Raw genomic sequence first — 18,226 nt, 5'->3', positions numbered from 1 at the left:
ACTGCACTTTCACATCTATATGGCCACAGCTGGTGACAGGAAATGAAGGGCCCATGGCAAGTGCTTTGGTGCAGAAGGCAAAAAGATGGTGCAGCCTGCCCAGCAATGGAAGGAGCAAGGGACCGGCATGGTGTCCAAGGCACATTCTGCCCTGAGGGCCACCATCTGTGACCCCCAAGCCATGCTCTGCACACATCAGAGGCACAGCCTTCCTCCCCCTCCACACTCCCTTTCTCCTTTCCAGCAGTTCCTCTTTTCCTCCTTCACTGCCTGTGCCTCAGGACTATCTTGGCATCCAGAGACAGTTCTTGAACTAACCATTCCAGAAGAAAATTGAGCATCACTGAAAAGGGCAAGAAGGGAATTTCCAATAAGGGTTAAAGACAAATGAATACGTATAACATATTTCAGAACATTTTGAAAAGTAGTCTTGGCCGAAAGTGTCTTCACAAGCAAAAACTGTATGACAGGGATACCTAAGAATAATGAAGAGTACTTATGATAAAAGAATCAGTAAGGAAAAAAAAATCACCTTCTTCACCCTTAAAATAAAAAATCAAAGCAAACTTAAAAAACTAACAAATTACTAAGATCAGAAAGTTTCCATACCGAAGATATAAACTCTTCTTGGTCATTCATACTCTCAGACATAGTGTCAGAAAAATTGGCTTCATTTGTATCTAGCGCTGAAGGCAAAGAATGAGTTTTACATAGAGAGTAGGAAGTCAAAGACCTGGTGGAGCTGCAAGGGCTGATTTGAGGACTCAGGGGGCTTAGCACCCTAGACATGGGGTTTATACTATCCGACGCTTGTCCTCTTGGAGAATGAAGATCTGTTTTGTAGTGCTCAGTCTTTATTCCATCATGTCTGTGCTGGCCATGGGTTGGCCTGGATGGTAGATTAGAAAACAAAACAAATAAAAAATTGTAGCAACTTTTCTCTTTCCAACAGAAATGTAGGAAATTTGCTTAATAGCCTAACTAATAAGGCTACAATTTACAAAATGAGCAACCTACTCAGATCAGAAAGAGATTTCTTTCATTCATTCAGGCCCCAAATATCCAATTCCAACTACCAAGTCCCTGCCCTCACACACTTATGGTATAGCAAGAAAGACAAACAAGCTGCCAGAGTAATCTAGTGTGGTTAGTGCTGGGACAGGAGAAGTGCTGTGCACATAAGAAGGCACCTAACCTAACTAGGGGATTGGGTGGGTGTAGGAGTGGAGGTGAGGGTGTCAGCAAAGGCTTTGGGTAGGAAAACATGTAAGCCATATAGTATGAGCTGAAGCCAAGTGGCTTTTCACCGAATGCTTATTTCTTACGGTAACAGCCTATAACAAATTGACTAAAAAGACAAAGGAAGCTGTTTATAAAAAGCCAAATTCTACTTCTTATGGGCAAATGGGGTTGAAGAGGTGGAAGGCAGCATGAAAAGCCTCAGGTAATACACATCTTGTTTACACTGATATCCAGAGTGTACAAAACTAAAGCTTTAATGAAAATGCTATACACCTCCCCCAGCCATTTTTTAACATGATCATAGCTTTACTTGTGCACACTATACTTCAGAATTAAACATAGAGTCCTTTGATGAAGATTTAATTTCTGTAAGTCAAAAATTATTCTCAAAGAAATGAGAATTATATTGTACCAATACACATTTTAAATAAACTTTTAAAAAATTTTACTTGAACTCTGTATTCTTGAACTCAGTTGTTCTGCTGTGTGTTGGTTTAAAGATCCTGTCATTTTGTTTTTTGCACATCTGAGTAGAAATCTCCAGCTGAGATTTGGTATTCATCAAATCTTTCTGTAGTTGTTGATTTTCAGACACTAATTTATTTAATGCCTCAATATAATTCTCCTGGAGGTCTGCTAGTGAAATCTCTTTTGCCTAATAAAAAAGAATACTAGAGTCACTTAATCTGTACAAGAATACCTGTGATCTGTGATACTGCTGGTTGGAAAATTCAGTGTTTTTTAGTTGTAAGTAGTTAATCTATGGCTTTAATGAAGCTTTGTTTTTAGGCCTCCTAAGACTAACAGAGATAAAGAATTCTTCAAGTAAATGGTAGTGGAACACTAGAAGCACAACGGGCTTCCTTGTGTGGCAAGGAATTCCAAGAAGGTGGAGGAAGGATGGAATCAGGATGGAGGAAAGCTGTAAGAGGGAATCAGAAACAGGGAAGAAGAAGGAAAATAGCAGCCATGTTTCTTCTGCAAGAAGGTGAAGGTTGAATAGCCCCAGAATACTAATGAAAGAAAACGGAGACCTAGTTCAAGGAAAGAAATTTGAACAAAAAGTTGTGAGAAAAATCTTCTGGCTGGCAGGGACAACTTTTAAATAAATAATCTCTAATCTTAAACACTTTTCTACAACTTTGGTATCTACTCATATATAAATTTGGACATGATAAAGCAGGATTCAAGTATATAGTGGGAATTACTATTCTGATCTGGTATCATAAATTTTATTGCTCTTCAATTCTAGGTGTTTCCTGGTAAGACACTACTTGAAAAAATGGTAGTCTGGGTGATTTTTTTTCTAATGACAAAATATTTTAATTAGTATTATGCAAAGTTATGGTAATCTTTGGAGTTTAATACCATGGTTAGCTTGGTCTTTTCTGTAAAAAAAAAAAAAAAAAAAAAAAAAAAACAAATTATGAAAGTAAGCTGGTCAAGAGTGGTCTGACAAACATAATTTTCCTAACAAAAACATAAACTTTAAAATATACCTGTGAACTATCTGTGTACAAGTAGTGACTATGAGCTACAAAATCTTTCAACAAGTTGTCAATGCCAGATAAAATATCAGAGAAGAACATCTGCAGGACATACGAGTTAAAATGAAACTATTATCGGTTTTTAAAACATGGTCAGTAATTTATCAGAGCTGTTGCTTTCATTATTAAGATAATTAGGTAATTTATTAAAATAGACATTTAACCCAAACATTCATTTGTACAAGTAACTTCAGCTTCCTACATGGTAAAATACAAAAGGGCATTTTCTAATAATTATTCTTCATAATATGTACAACATATTCACACTGTATGTAATTTCAAAACTAGAGAAAGCTTAAACTGCTGACAAGGTTTTCACCAGTTTGATGTCTGATGTCATTAAACATACTTATTAAAAAATGATAATGCTTACCTTCATTCAGGTATGTTTTAAAAATTTCTCTAAGTTATTATTTTATAAACAATTACTACAGATAAATGAATATGAAAGGTAATATGAAAACTGAGTAGCGAGCACACATCTAGCTGTCTAAAGAAAGAACAGTATTACCACTATTATTGATAGCTGGAAGTTTCAGGAGAAATTAAGCTGAACAGCATCTCTGGTCATGGTCTGGCTTAAGTTCCCCTGAGAGTTCTCAATTCTTAAATATGAACAGATAATCACTGCATAAGATAAGAGTCTCTCAACCAAGTACTGCTGAATCCTAAGCCTTTACAGAATTCTGTGGTGTAAATCAGTTTAGTTCTTAGAGTTCTCCACTACTAGCTTAGTATTGACTTTATTAGGGGATATCAAGTTCCCTCCCTCCCTTCCTTCCTTCCTTCCCTCCTTCCCACTTTCCCCCTTACAAAATGTTTAGCTATTGTCTCCTCTCCTATTATTCCCAACCTCGTGGGTTTGCGCTTTAAAAATAAATCCTTTCGAAAATTTTCTCCCATTTTGTAGGTTGCCTGTTCACTCTGATGGTAGTTTCTTTTGCTGTACAGAAGCTCTTTAGTTTAATGAGATCCCATTTGTCAATTTTGGCTTTTGTTGCCATTGCTTTTGGTGTTTTAGACATGAAGTCCTTGCCCATGCCTATGTCCTGAATGGTATTGCCTAGGTTTTCTTCTAGGGTTTTTATGGTTTTAGGTCTAACGTTTAAGTCTTTAATCCATCTTGAATTGATTTTTGTATAAGGTGTAAGGAAGGGATCCAGTTTCAGCTTTCTACATATGGCTAGCCAGTTTTCCCAGCACCATTTATTAAATAGGGAATCCTTTCCCCATTGCTTGTTTTTCTCAGGTTTGTCAAAGATCAGATAGTTGTAGATATGCGGCATTATTTCTGAGGGCTCTGTTCTGTTCCATTGATCTATATCTCTTTTTTGGTACCAGTACCATGCTGTTTTGGTTACTGTAGCCTTGTAGTATAGTTTGAAGTCAAGTAGGGTGATGCCTCCAGCTTTGTTCTTTTTGCTTAGGATTGACTTGGCGATGCGGGCTCTTTTTTGGTTCCATATGAACTTTAAAGTAGTTTTTTCCAATTCTGTGAAGAAAGGCATTGGTAGCTTGATGGGGATGGCATTGAATCTGTAAATTACCTTGGGCAGTATAGCCATTTTCACGATATTGATTCTTCCTACCCATGAGCATGGGATGTTCTTCCATTTGTTTGTATCCTGTTTTATTTCCTTGAGCAGTGGTTTGTAGTTCTCCTTGAAGAGGTCCTTCACATCCCTTGTAAGTTGGATTCCTAGGTATTTTATTCTCTTTGAAGCAATTGTGAATGGGAGTTCACTCATGATTTGGCTCTCTGTTTGTCTGTTGCTGGTGTATAAGAATGCTTGTGATTTTTGTACATTGATTTTGTATCCTGAGACTTTGCTGAAGTTGCTTATCAGCTTAAGGAGATTTTGGGCTGAGACAATGGGGTTTTCTAGATATACAATCATGTCGTCTGCAAAGAGGAACAATTTGACTTCCTCTTTTCCTAACTGAATACCCTTTATTTCCTTCTCCTGCCTAATTGCCCTGGCCAGAACTTCCAACAGTATGTTGAATAGGAGTGATGAGAGAGGGCATCCCTGTCTTGTGCCAGTTTTCAAAGGGAATGCTTCCAGTTTTTGCCCATTCAGTATGATATTGGCTGTGGGTTTGTCATAGATAGCTCTTATTATTTTGAAATACGTCCCATCAATACCTAATTTATTGAGAGTTTTTAGCATGAAGGGTTGTTGAATTTTGTCAAAGGCCTTTTCTGCATCTATTGAGATAATCATGTGGTTTTTGTCTTTGGCAACCTACTCATCTGACAAAGGGCTAATATCCAGAATCTACAATGAACTCAAACAAATTTACAAGAAAAAAACAAACAACCCCATCAAAAAGTGGGCAAAGGACATGAACAGACACTTCTCAAAAGAAGACATTTATGCAGCCAAAAAACACATGAAAAAATGCTCATCATCACTGGCCATCAGAGAAGTGCAAATCAAAACCACAATGAGATACCATCTCACACCAGTTAGAATGGCAGTCATTAAAAAGTCAGGAAACAACAGGTGCTGGAGAGGATGTGGAGAAATAGGAACACTTTTACACTGTTGGTGGGACTATAAAGTAGTTCAACCATTGTGGAAGTCAGTGTGGCGATTCCTCAGGGATCTAGAACTAGAAATACCATTTGACCCAGCCATCCCATTACTGGGTATATACCCAAAGGACTATAAATCATGCTGCTATAAAGACACATGCACACGTATGTTTATTGCGGCACTATTCACAATAGCAAAGACTTGGAAGCAACCCAAATGTCCAACAATGATAGACTGGGTTAAGAAAATGTGGCACATATACACCATGGAATACTATGCAGCCATAAAAAATGATGAGTTCATGTCCTTTGTAGGGACATGGATGAAATTGGAAATCATCATTCTCAGTAAACTATCACAAGAACAAAAAACCAAACACTGCATATTCTCACTCATAGGTGGGAATTGAACAATGAGATCACATGGACACAGGAAGGGGAACATCACACTCTGGGGACTGTTGTGGGGTGGGGGAAGGGGGGAGGGATAGCATTGGGAGATATACCTAATGCTAGATAACGAGTTAGTGGGTGCAGTGCACCAGCATGGCACATGTATACATAGGTAACTAACCTGCACAATGTGCACATGTACCCTAAAACTTAAAGTATAATAATAAAAGGAAAAAAATAAAAATAAAATAGAACAAAAATAAATCCTTTCATGACAGTTTTAGAGGGATTTGAGGATAGAGCAAGATCAGATGAGTGTTTTCATCTGCCACCTTCAATGACAGTGTAATATTCATAAAATCAAAAATTAACCATTGAAATAAATATAGTTTATTTCAAAATTTTGGATATTGCGAACAATACTTCAATGACCATTTTATGCACACTTGCTCCTAGAGAATGGTTTCCATGGGAATGTAAAAAGATAAGACCATTCTGAAAACAATTCAGCAAGGACTATCAAAATCAGAAACACACATGACCCAGGAATTTAGAGGCTATACGTATTTACGCATTTGATGGATATTGCTAAGCTGTCCTCTAGAAAGGCCGTATCAATTCACTTTCTCATTGACAGTGCAATAAGTCTGTTTCCTTACATCTTTCTAACACTGGCTATATATTAGTTTTTAAAGGTTATTATCAAACCAATTAGTAAAAGAATGTCTATTTTGCTTTATTAGAGAGGTTGAACAGTTTTCTTTGTTTACTAGATATTTATATTAATTCTGTGAGGTATCTATCTACATTCTTTGCCTATTTTTCTACTAGATTATCTTTTCCTTATTATCTTTGTAGGGAATTTTTATATATTAATAATTTACATTAACCTTTTGTCTGATTATAAACTGTTTTCTCCCTATTAGTCTTTTTTAATAGGGCCTTTTACCATCCAGAAACTTCACATTTTTATGTTGTAAAATCCTCTATGGCGTCATGATGTTTGGAGAATCTTACCCTTCTGAAAGATTACAAAAATAGTCCCCCATTTTTCCAGTTGAAATAAGGTACTCTATAATAGTCTTTTGCATGTTCTTCCACCCCAGTATCCACAATCCTGGATTGTGAAATTAGAATTTTTCAGAGCAAACAGGGAGCATGTTGGAACCATATATCTTTTTGGAGGAATACTCTCTGGAAATGCAGGAAAAAAGCATTTATACAATTTTCAGACATCTGACCTACACCAAGAAAAGATGGGTCAGAATAGATGAGTCATTTTGCAAATTATAGGAATTTTGTAACAAAACAGTTAAAAGAGCATCTATACTGTAATTCACTGTTGGCTAATCATGTTCTCTCTGGTTTCACAGAAGCTTGTATGCATTTCTTATCCTTGCTACTAGATTACTCTAGTCTCTTAAAGGCTAGAGTAATTTGAGTAATTGCAGCTGATCCAAAATCTCTCTTAAAGGCAAGAATGCTATCTTATTCAGCCTGTGTTCATTATAGCACCTACTAAAAGTCCTTGGATATAAAAGATTCTAAAATATTTTATTATGTGAATATCTTGTAGAAATAAAATTAAAATTAAATTATTTTAAAGACAATATACTTTCTAAAAAGATAACAAACATAATAATCATTAACAATAATAATAATAATAATAATACCACCATCTAGGATGTATTGCATACTTACTAAGTGTCAGGTACTATGTACTATATGCTAAGTCCTTCATATACATTCTTCCAACTAAGAACACAGACTGTAGGTAAATTTTATCACATACATAATATAAAAAAATACCTTCCTGGCCGAGCACGGTGGCTCATGCCTGTAATCCCAGCACTTTGGGAGGCTGAGGCGGGCAGATCACCTGAGATTGGGAGTTCGAGACCAGCCTGACCAACATGGAGAAACCCTGCCTCTACTGAAAATACAACATCAGCCAGGTGTGGTGGCGCATGCCTGTGATCCCAGTTACTCAGGAGGCTGAGGCAGGAGCATCATTTGAACCCGGGAGGTGGAGGCTGCGGTGAGCCAAGATCACGCCATTGCACTCCAGCCTGGGTAACAAGAGTGAAACCCCGTCTCAAAAAAACAAACAAAAACCCTTCCTGCTGCTGGAGTGGAGAGTCATATTTTGCTCACTTCCAGTATTGTTTTACCTTCATTTTCTTTGAGAAAATTTCTGCAAAAGGATCTAAGTTGATCTTAATTCTCTCTTTATAATGTAAATATTTACAAAGTAATTTTTTTGAAGGCTTGGATAGTAGAAAAACTTAAGTTTCTATTTATGTACCTCATGTAAACCCAATTCCAATTTCATCACCATTTCAGAAAGATGACGATTTTCTAATTTGAGTGACTCCAGCTGATCCAAAATCTCCTGAAAAGGGGAAAACAGAAAAAAATAAATATAACATGTAAATCACATGCATCTTACAAAATTTTTCCACATGGAATTTTCATTAGGCTAAGTCATATTCTTCATTTATATATATATACATATACATATTTATATATATATATACATATATATATGTACGTGTGTGTGTGTATATATATATATATATATATATATATATATGGACTTTCTAAAAAGATTTTTAAGATGTTATTAAGGTGAATGAACATGAATGGGATGAAGATATCATTCTAATAGGATAAATCAGGTGACAAAGCAGCAAAGTTTCAATCCACTGAACCCCTTAAATCCCTACCCATTCTCCTGTGCTGGCCTCCTCCAATTTGGCTTCTACCTGCAACGTCACATGGAATTGTACTTTATTCACAAAATAACAACTTATATTCAGTTCTCATTCCCCTCAGCTTTTGTGCTTGACCATTCCCATTTGAAAATATTCCTTCTTTCCTTGGCTTGGCAAAAACTATCTGATTTCCCTCCTCACTGCTCCTTTTTTTAAGCTTCATTCCAACATCTTTTTTACACTAAATGAGAAGTATCCTAAGTTTGGTTTGAGTCACTTCTCTTCTTACGCTATGCTTTCTCACTATAATCATTAAGTCTCTCAGGGGGTTTCAAATGTCACCATGAAGAAAGGACAGCCACAGCTAAATGCCTAATCCTGATTTTAATCTTCAACTCCAGGCCTTCTGTGGAATTGACTATTACCCATACAAAATTCCAGCCTTTATTCCAAACAAATGTGTCAAACCAATGTCCTCTCCACCAGTTTCCCCAGTCTGTGTACTTTTCACACAAATTCATCATCCTTCACCAAACTTGCTCCCTGTCTTTTCTCTATTTCATTAAAAAGCATCACTTTCCATCAGTTGCCTAAGTTTAAATCCTGTGGAGCACCATTCCTTAACTCTGCCTACCTCACCTTCCCTGCCAATCAAATACAATGCCCAGTCATTTTTACCAGCCCAGTATCTCCAGAATTCATCCATTTCCCTCTGCCTCCCTTGCCCACTGCTCAGGCCACCATCTTACCACTGTAACAGCATCTGGGTGCTCTGTCTCCCTGCTTATTCTCCATTTAAGGACCACTGAATTTTACTCCTGCTTGCAGCCATTCCCTACTGACCTCAAGGTCACAGTATAACTCCTTTACGTGGCTAACGTAGCCCTTCAGCAGCCAGTCCCTGCTTTCCAGTCTCATACCTTCCACTCATCCCACTTGTACTCTAGTTTCAACCACAGCAAGCGTGTTTCTACTCTCTCTTAGAGACCTCTGTATTTTCCTGTGCCTGAAACACTTTTCCTCCCCATCACCCAGCTTGCTCCTAACTTAGCTTTGCTATCACACCTTCTGGAAGGCCTTTGCAGCGAGTGGTCTAGATTCAGGCTGCTTGTGATCTCTAGTGACTCTCACCATACACCACTGATACAGTCACTTTACTTGTCTGTGTCTACTCTCACCTCCCCACCATGCTCACTAAACTCTTTGCTAGCCAGCATACTCTCAGCTCAAAGCAGGTATCTAATAAAAATTCACTGAATTAAATATTATGAAAATTATGTCTTTAATCAACTCCATCTTTAAAACAAATTTCAAATTTAAAAAAGGTTTTGTTCAGGCTTCACCTTATGCTCTACTGCTTTGTCTTCTGCCTTTTGCATCTCTGCTCTGAGTCGCTTTTCCATGTCTGAGGAAGAACCTTTGGTGGAAGCAATAGTGATATCTCGCTGATGTAACTCCTGAGTTAGATGGGAGATTTCCATCTTCATTCCTTCTAGTGCAGAACTGTAACTTTGTTCACCCTGTAAAATCTGTTCTTTCAACTATAAAGAAGCAGAAAAGAAAGCACCAAAAGTTAAGAGAAAGCATTTAGATAGAATAATATGTTACTAGCTAATAAAATAAAAGTTCACCTTATCTCAAGACATTAAATTTCTCTTAAATTAAATCTGCAGAAAAATTAGCAATTTACCAAGTTGCATATCTGTACTGAAGGTCAGGTGGTTATACCTACAATCATTTATTATACCTCAAAACAGGGAGAGATGGGTTATTCAAGTGCTGAGGACCAGAATCAAGGTCCATGCACACAATTTAGAGGAGAGTACTTGTGACCTTCATTCTTTTTTTTAGTTGTGAATCTAAAAGTTTTGCTCATATGGTATCTTAGTCCACAGGATAACAAATAGAACAAGAGGAAGTAAGGAACTAGAAGTAATCTTAAAGAAGTAACAAAAAATACAAATCAAACAAATAGGACAGTTAGGGCCCATTCATATAGACACAAACAGCTCTGCATACCTCAATAGCTGACAAGGATACTAACTACATCATAGCACAGGAGACAATACATAAATACTATCTTTAGGCAATAAGAAAATATTAAGTGACAGTTCATATTTTTTTGCAAGCAACAGAGTGTATGTCTTTTAGAAAACTTTTCATCAAAACATGTTTAAAATAAAGTTTTTGAGTTCAAAGGGGACAGCCTTCAATTATCTTAAAAATATTTATTGGGCATCAGGGGCGATGCCAAAGAAAGAAGGCACTTTCCCTATGCACATTCCACAAACTCTTCCACTCCTAAATATCAAGTGGTCCCTTGAACTACATTTTTTTCTCATTAAAAATAACCCCTATAATCTCCCAATCCACAGCTTTGTCCATAAACACATACAATTTTGCAATCCTAGGTATGCAGATTTTTACCTTCTTAATCTCTGCTTTGTATTCATTGTTATGTGCTTCCATCCTCTTCAGTTCTTCATATTTTTCCATTAGTTCTTGGCTCAGCTGTTTACACGTTGCACTCACAGATTCCAAACTGTATGACAAAAATAAGATCCCATACTTAAAACCAAAATCCTGAAACCTATAAATTGGACTATCTAATTTACATTCTTGATATCCAAAAAATATCCAGCCAATATCTTAAACATCACCTCAGTCATTTAAAATATTACTAAAAAGCCAATCAATAAAAAAACTGTGATAAAAATGTAAACTGTTGTCCCAACGTCAAAAATAATAAACTTAATTTTAGTCAAACGGAAGAGTACACATATACTTCAATAATAACAAAGACTATCTCAAGTACTCCAAGTATTCCAAAAGGAATAAAGCAGAAAATATGTGTGTGTATGCATGTTTGTGTATTTAACATGTAGATAAAAGTAAGAAAATACTTACTGGTTTCCAAAACCAGAAATAAATGTAAAAACAAAAAATGTATTACTTAAAGATAACCTAAAAAGTGTAAAATGATATTTCTCTTGTTGTTTGCCTAAAGGTTAACAGTTCATGTTAAAAGCAATTTTATCTTTTACATACAGAAAATGTCAGTGTACAAATGATCATGATTCATGTGTTTAAAACAAGATATCACACTCTTCCCAATCAAAAAGTTGAGAGGTTATGAAAAACCAAAAAAAATTCTATAAGTACGACAATGACAAGTGTTTAGGTGGGTATGGTATAGCATTAGTCAGGATTCAATTAACACCCAAGGAAGTAACAACACCACAGCAGAACAAAAAGGATCACCATGTGTCAACTGTTACCCCTTCCTACCCTGCTTCTGAGGTGGCAAGGAGGAAAACCTAAGTGAAGGGCTGCTAAACAGGTGAAAGGTAAAGAAGTAGAGTCAGTATAGACAACTCTTTTGAAGAATTTGGTCTTAAAGAGAAGTACAGAAATGTGGAAATAACTTGACGGAGACATAGGATTAAGGGATGGTTTTTCCCCCAGATGGGTGATGTTACAGCGTATTTTATACCAGTGGATAGATTCAGCAGACAGAAAGAACTTGATGATGCAGAAGAGAAAGGATATAACTACAGAAAAAGGACACAAGTGGAGTGGTTGGTCTTAGAAGTGCAGAAAGGCACAGGTATGGGCAGACTGGTAGATTTGATGACAGAAAGATTAAGAGGTTCTCCTTTAATTGCTTCTGTCTTCTCAATGAAATAAGAACTTAGGGCAGGGTGCGGTGACTCATGCCTGTAATCCCAGCACTTTGGGAGGCCAAGGCAGGTGGATCACCTGAGGTCAGGAGTTCAAGACCAGCCTGGCCAACATGGTGAAACACCGTCTCTACAAAAATATAAAAATTAGCCAGGCATGGTGGTGCACGCCTGTAATCTCAGCTACTCAGGAGGCTGGGGCAGAAGAATCAATTGAACCGGGAGGCGGAGGTTGCAGTGAGCTGAGATTGTGCCATTGCACTCCAGTCTGGGTGACAGAGCGGACTCCGTCTCAAAAAAAAAAAAAAAGAAATAAGAACTTAGGCCATTTGTGGATACTAGAAAAAAATCTTATTTTTTTTACTATGACTATTACATTCATTTACAATATGATGATCAAAAATTCATTTTAACAACTTGAAATTTTTGAAATGTGTGTATAATTATGTACCTGCCTTCAAGACAAGTCACCTCTGCCTGCAGAAGGTCCTCACTAGTATGGGTAAAATTCAACTGGGAGAGCACACTGTCTAAGTCCCCCTGCCCTTGAGAGGTGTACTTCTTTTCTGCCAGAGATTCTTCCCGTGGCCTATGGAAAGACATAGGATGATTGTTAACGCCTTTATCTCTGCAAACAAAAATAATGCTCATCTAGTCTGTGTTTCCCCATCATTTTTGGTAACCTCTTTGGAACTCTTCAAGTTTGTCTCCTGCTTTATAAAAAGAATATTGGGAGAGGAAAGAAAGAGTCAAGAGATGCTGATACTTCAAAAAGTAGCAATTTACTCCCTTCTTAACTGGGATTTGGCCTTTTTTCAAGGGAAAAAGACAAAATGGCAAAATCACTTCAGTGACACTTGAAACCCTGTACCAAAAAAACTGAAAAGTTACAGGAGAATTCTGGCAAAAATAAAAGTGTGCATCAGACTTAAATCAAGCAAGAGGGCTAGCCCAATGGCTGGCTGCTATTAATGATAAGCAGCTACTAATCACAACTTATTCCACCAACAAAGTGAGGCCTCCAGGAGACATGGATGACAATTCCCTGCACATTTGGATTTTCACCAAGCATGCAAACTGACCTTGGTTTCTAACTTTCTAAACATGAGAGTCTCTGTTAGGGACCCTAACTGGTGGCAGAAGAAAATTAACCACACAAAATTTTATAACACTTTAAAAACCTAACTCAGAAGTTAAAGCCAATTAAGAAAATCCACAATATGATCAAACATAAAATTATGAATATGCAATATGAAAACTAGTGCTTGGATGGGCGTGGCAGCTCACACCTGTAATCCCAGCACTTTGGGAGGCTGAGGTGGGCAGATCACCTGAGGTTAGGAATTTAAGACCGGCCTAGCCAACATGATGAATGCCCGTCTCTAAAAATACAAAAAACTAGCCAGGTGTGGTAGCATGCACCTGTAGTCCCAGCTACTTGGGAGGCTGAGCCTGGAGAATGGCTTGAACCTCGGAGGTTGAGGTTGCAGTGAGCTGAGATTGCACCACTGCACTCCAGTCTGGGCAACAGGAGACTATCTGAAAATAAAATAAAAATAAAAATAAAAATAAGCCTAGTGCTTAATACCTAGTCATTAAGTGGCTAAGATGAATAATATTTAAGATTAAATTTACCTTATAGCTTCTACAGCATGTTGAGTGTTAGTTGCCTTTACTTTTTCTTGTAACTTCTCCTTTTGTATTCTGGCCTCATGTATGAGATTTTCTTGAGACTGAAGAGCTGCCTTCAATTCTCTCTTTTCTTCCTGCAGAGCCTGCAAAAAAGTCAAATATGATTATAATTTTCCTTCTTTTTAATTCCTGCAGAACCTGCAAAATACTCAGAAATTTCTAAGCCAGCTATTATTACAATTTTTCTATTTCACGAGAAGCCAGGAAGTCAGACTATAAGTTACGTAACAATATTACAATATTGTAAATATTGTAATAAAGTCACAATATTAGTAAAACTATCAATATCTGATCCATCATTTATAAAGTAGGGAAGAAAGTATGGATTGTAGAACCTAGTTCTAGCTTAATAACACTCTCTTAAAATACTCATACACACACTTCCCCCAATTATAGTGATTTTAAAACATACCTCTAATAGTTTTTCAGATTCCCTCAATTTTTCTTCTTTTTGCTGCTGCTCCTGTAGGACAGTCATACTGGTTCCAACCAAGTCATTGACCCTCATGGTGAGGCGCTCTATTTCCAACTCATTGGCACAGATAGTGTCATTAGCCCGCTCCAGTTTACTGCTTAAGTGTTGAATTTCTGATTGGCTAGAAAGTTCCACAGACTCTAATTTCTGTTTCCGATTGACAAGCTGAGCCTAGAAACACAGACTATCAATCAATAGGTAAAAGGGAAATGATAAAATAATCAATGAATAAGACTAAAATGAAACTATTATTTCCATAAAAACATAAAGCATTGGCTCACTAAAATATATATATATATATTGCGAAGGGGTAAGAAAGAATTGAGAGGCTGGGAGTGGTGGCTCACGCCTGTAATCCTAACACTATGGGAGGCTGAGGCAGGCAGATCGCTTGAGCTCAGGAGTTCGAGATCAGCCTGGAAACATGGCGAAACCCTGTCTTTATAAAAAATACAAAAATTGGCCGGGTGCAGTGGATCACGCCTGTAATCCCGCACTTTGAGAGGCTGAGGTGGGCGGATCATGAGGTCAGGAGATTGAGACCATCCTTGCCAACATGGTGAAACCCGTCTCTACTAAAAATACAAAAATTAGCTGGGCGTGGTGGCGCGTGCCTGTAATCCCAGCTACTCGGGATCGGGAGGCTGAGGCAGGAGAATCACTTGAACCAGGGAGTTGGAGGTTGCAGTGAGCCGAGATTGCGCCACTGCACTGCAGCCTAGTGACAGAATGAGACTCTGTCTCAAAACAAACAAACAAACAAATAAAATACAAAAATTACCCGAGCACAGTGGCATGGGAGGATCACATGAACCCAGGAAGCGGAAGTTGCAGTGAGCCAAGATCGCACCACTGCACTCCGGCCTGCGTGACAAAGTAAGAACCTGTCTCAAATAAATAAATAAATAGAAAAGAATGGATAAAGTAAAGGGATTCCTCAGGAGAAGAGATGCTACAGTATTCTACCTACTCACACAGAAATTCAACCGCAACCTGGCTGGAATTATTTCCTATTTAAAACATAGGAAATAGGAACTATAATGCATTATTATATTTCTGATGGAAGTTTAGAAATTAGAATTTCAAAATCACTAAATTTGTAGTTTAAATTCCCCCCCCCACCTAGAGCATGTTGTAATTATTCTGTTTTAACATTATAAACATTCATATTTAGATTAGTCATCGTGACCATAAAATGCTCTTTAAATTCAGAGAAATGGGGAAATTGTGGTCTTTTGTTTATTGGAGGAAAAGGTGCTTATAAGGGAGGAGAGATTGGTTCTGTCATCAGTTTTTGGACACTTCCTGAGTTAAAAGAGGTAAACAAATATAATGCATCTCAAACTGGTTTCTCTGAATGATACGTTTACTGACTACTATGTTTTAGGCTATGCATCCCAGCAGTATTGGGTTTTAGCTCCAAACTTTTTAGTTTTTACAAGTTTTAATCCAGCATCCTGGCTGGTACTTCATCTACACATTGAAGATGAATATAAATAATCTGTAGAGGTAAACTTCCCTTACTCGAAATATTTCTAAAGGTAAAATCACACAATTTTACTTTAGAAATACAAGTAGAAATATCTCTGGGAAATCTATCTATTGCAGATTTAAAGATTTTATTATTTACAGTACAGGTCCAAATCCTGTACTATATACTGTAGTCAAATAAAGTAGATGCTAAAAACTTCCCATAAGCCAGAGAGAGGGTAGGAGAGAGGTGAAGAGATAGACAAATACTGTTTGTATAAATTACCGATCAAGATTTCAGTGCAAAGAGCCTTTTTTTTTTTTTAACCAGATCCCTACAATGGTATAAAGGAAGAACATCAACATTTAGGTTTAGATTCACTAGAACAACTGCTAAGCATGGAACTGTCTCCAAACTTTTAAATATAATATAAACTTTTCTTTCAAAGAGGAAAGGTTTCCTGTGCAGAATAAATAAATGCAGATATTGGGTGAGGGTGAGAAGGAGAAAAGGGTTAGAGCCCAGCTTGCTGAAATGTCCCTTAGTCCTACCCTTAATCTGTACAGCAGCCCTGGGTCTCAGCAAAACACAACTAGAAACCCACTGCCAAAATGGGCACTCAGATAATACATAATTGCAAAACACTATCTTTTTAATACTGTAATAGCTACCTAACACTATCAACTCAAATCTGTGATCTTAAACTCAGTATTGATATAATAAACTAATAGTTAAACCAAGGCATACTTTAACCAGTGAGTCTAGATTTGCTAAATACTAATAAACTTCTCAGTTTTGAAGAATGGAGAACATAACCTTCTTTCACTGATTTACTATTTTGGTCACACAAAAATACAGTGTTTTTTAAGCATAGTGAAAAGTACATTAATCAACTCAAGTACAAATTCTAAATTTTCATTGCCTAGAATGCACTAGGGCTGCAATACCATTGCAGTCACCCACACGCGGATATTGCACAACTGAACTGTGGCTAATCTGAATTGAGATGTGCTCTTAACCGTAAAATACAAATTCAGTTGAAGATTTCAAAGACTCATTAAAAAAATGTAAAGTAAATGTTGTAATATTTCTGACATATTGAGTTGAATATATTATTAAAATTAATTTCACCTTTTTACTTTTTAATGTGACTAGTAGAAAATTTTAAATTACATGTGACTCACCAATATCTATTAGCACTACACTAATCTCAAGAACACTTCATCAATACTAAGAAAGTCAGAAATAATTATTTAAAAACTTCTAAAATAATGATTATTTCTGATAATTATCTGGCTTTAGAGGTATTTTAAGGCTGGCATATTTTTAAACTTTTTTTTTTTTTGCACTAACCACTAATTCTTTGAGCCAGAAACAGGCATTCCTCTTATTAATCTAACATTTAGCATTCTATTGGAGTGGGTAGAAGTTATTTCAACAATACAAATCACAGCAGAGGTGGTTAAAAGTAAAGAAGCAATCAAGAAGGCAGTTTACATCAGGGAGACTGAAACTGAAACAAAAGGCCAGTGTGGCCAGCTAAAGTGTGAAAGAGAGTGGAGAAGAAATTGGGGAGTGGGGGTTGAATTCAAATCCTCTTCTGGATTTGTGATAGCTACTTCCTGGTGCTTCAAGAAAATGACTCTCCCAGAGAGTGAGATTACTATGAACAATGTGATATGAAGCAACAAGGCTTTTTATTTTCCAAAGAATCCCAGTATGAAGGTACGGCCATTGTAAGCATCAATCCCTTACCAAGCTCCCCATCACTGTCAACTCCAAATGCGCCAGTGCAGGCCACAGCCTCACAGCATTTCCACTAGAGAGCAGCCTAAAGAGCCTATTAACAACACAGCTCCTAGTAAGATTCTCTTATCACTGTTGTGTCTATGCTACTACGAACTTTTAAACAGTAGGTCTAAGCCAATTCAATTAACTCTGATAATTCTACCAAGACAACAGATCAACATTTGAGTTAGGGTCATTTTTTTCTTCAAAAGTTGTGACAGGAAAAGGATGCTTTTAAAAATACAACATATATACGTATAAATATATTTATATACATATAATTAACAGTGGATTTAAAATTAACTTGAAGAATATTTTACAGCTCATCTAAGTATTTCAAAAGGAAAACATAGAGCAACCTCTACTTTTTTCACATACTGTTTATCAGTTAAATATTTTACATTTTATGTTGGCTTAATATTTTAATTTTTTTCAAATGTTCTTACTGTTCTCTAAGATTTCCTTGAACATTTCCTTTGCATTATGTAGGCAACAGAAAAAGTAGCCTTCTAAACAGAAATGACCTTAGTTTTAGACTGTACTGATCCTTTTCCTATACTATATAACCACGACTCTTTTGTTACATCTAGCATTACAGTTTAACAACTGTACTTTTTAATAAAATACATTTTAATATTTGATAGAACAAACATCCCCCCATTACTCCTTTTTAAAAAATGCTGGT

At 36.8% G+C, this 18,226-nt stretch overlaps 1 protein-coding gene across 61 annotated transcripts in view; it reads right to left on the bottom strand.

The window, feature by feature from the left end:
• CEP63 (centrosomal protein 63) overlaps window positions 1-18,226 on the bottom strand; it is a 296,836-nt gene that overhangs the window by 222,521 nt on the left and 56,089 nt on the right. For 15 of the 61 annotated variants that reach the window (XR_002959589.2, XR_007095735.1, XR_007095734.1 and 12 more), the window contains 5 exon segments: window positions 14,220-14,453; window positions 13,751-13,890; window positions 10,863-10,977; window positions 9,779-9,976; window positions 8,027-8,113 (listed from right to left, as the gene is read on the bottom strand). Coding sequence is in view for 49 of the 61 variants with exons in the window: in NM_001042384.2 (NP_001035843.1) it covers window positions 8,027-8,113; window positions 9,779-9,976; window positions 10,863-10,977; window positions 13,751-13,890; window positions 14,220-14,453 (774 nt within the window). In the remaining 12 variants the exon portion in view is untranslated. 61 annotated transcript variants of the gene reach the window in all.

The sequence above is a fragment of the Homo sapiens genome, chromosome 3 (assembly GCF_000001405.40).
Source record: "Homo sapiens chromosome 3, GRCh38.p14 Primary Assembly".
Classification (NCBI taxonomy): domain Eukaryota; kingdom Metazoa; phylum Chordata; class Mammalia; order Primates; family Hominidae; genus Homo; species Homo sapiens.
Note: the sequence above shows the minus strand (reverse complement) of the source record. Positions and strands in the feature narration are given on the sequence as shown.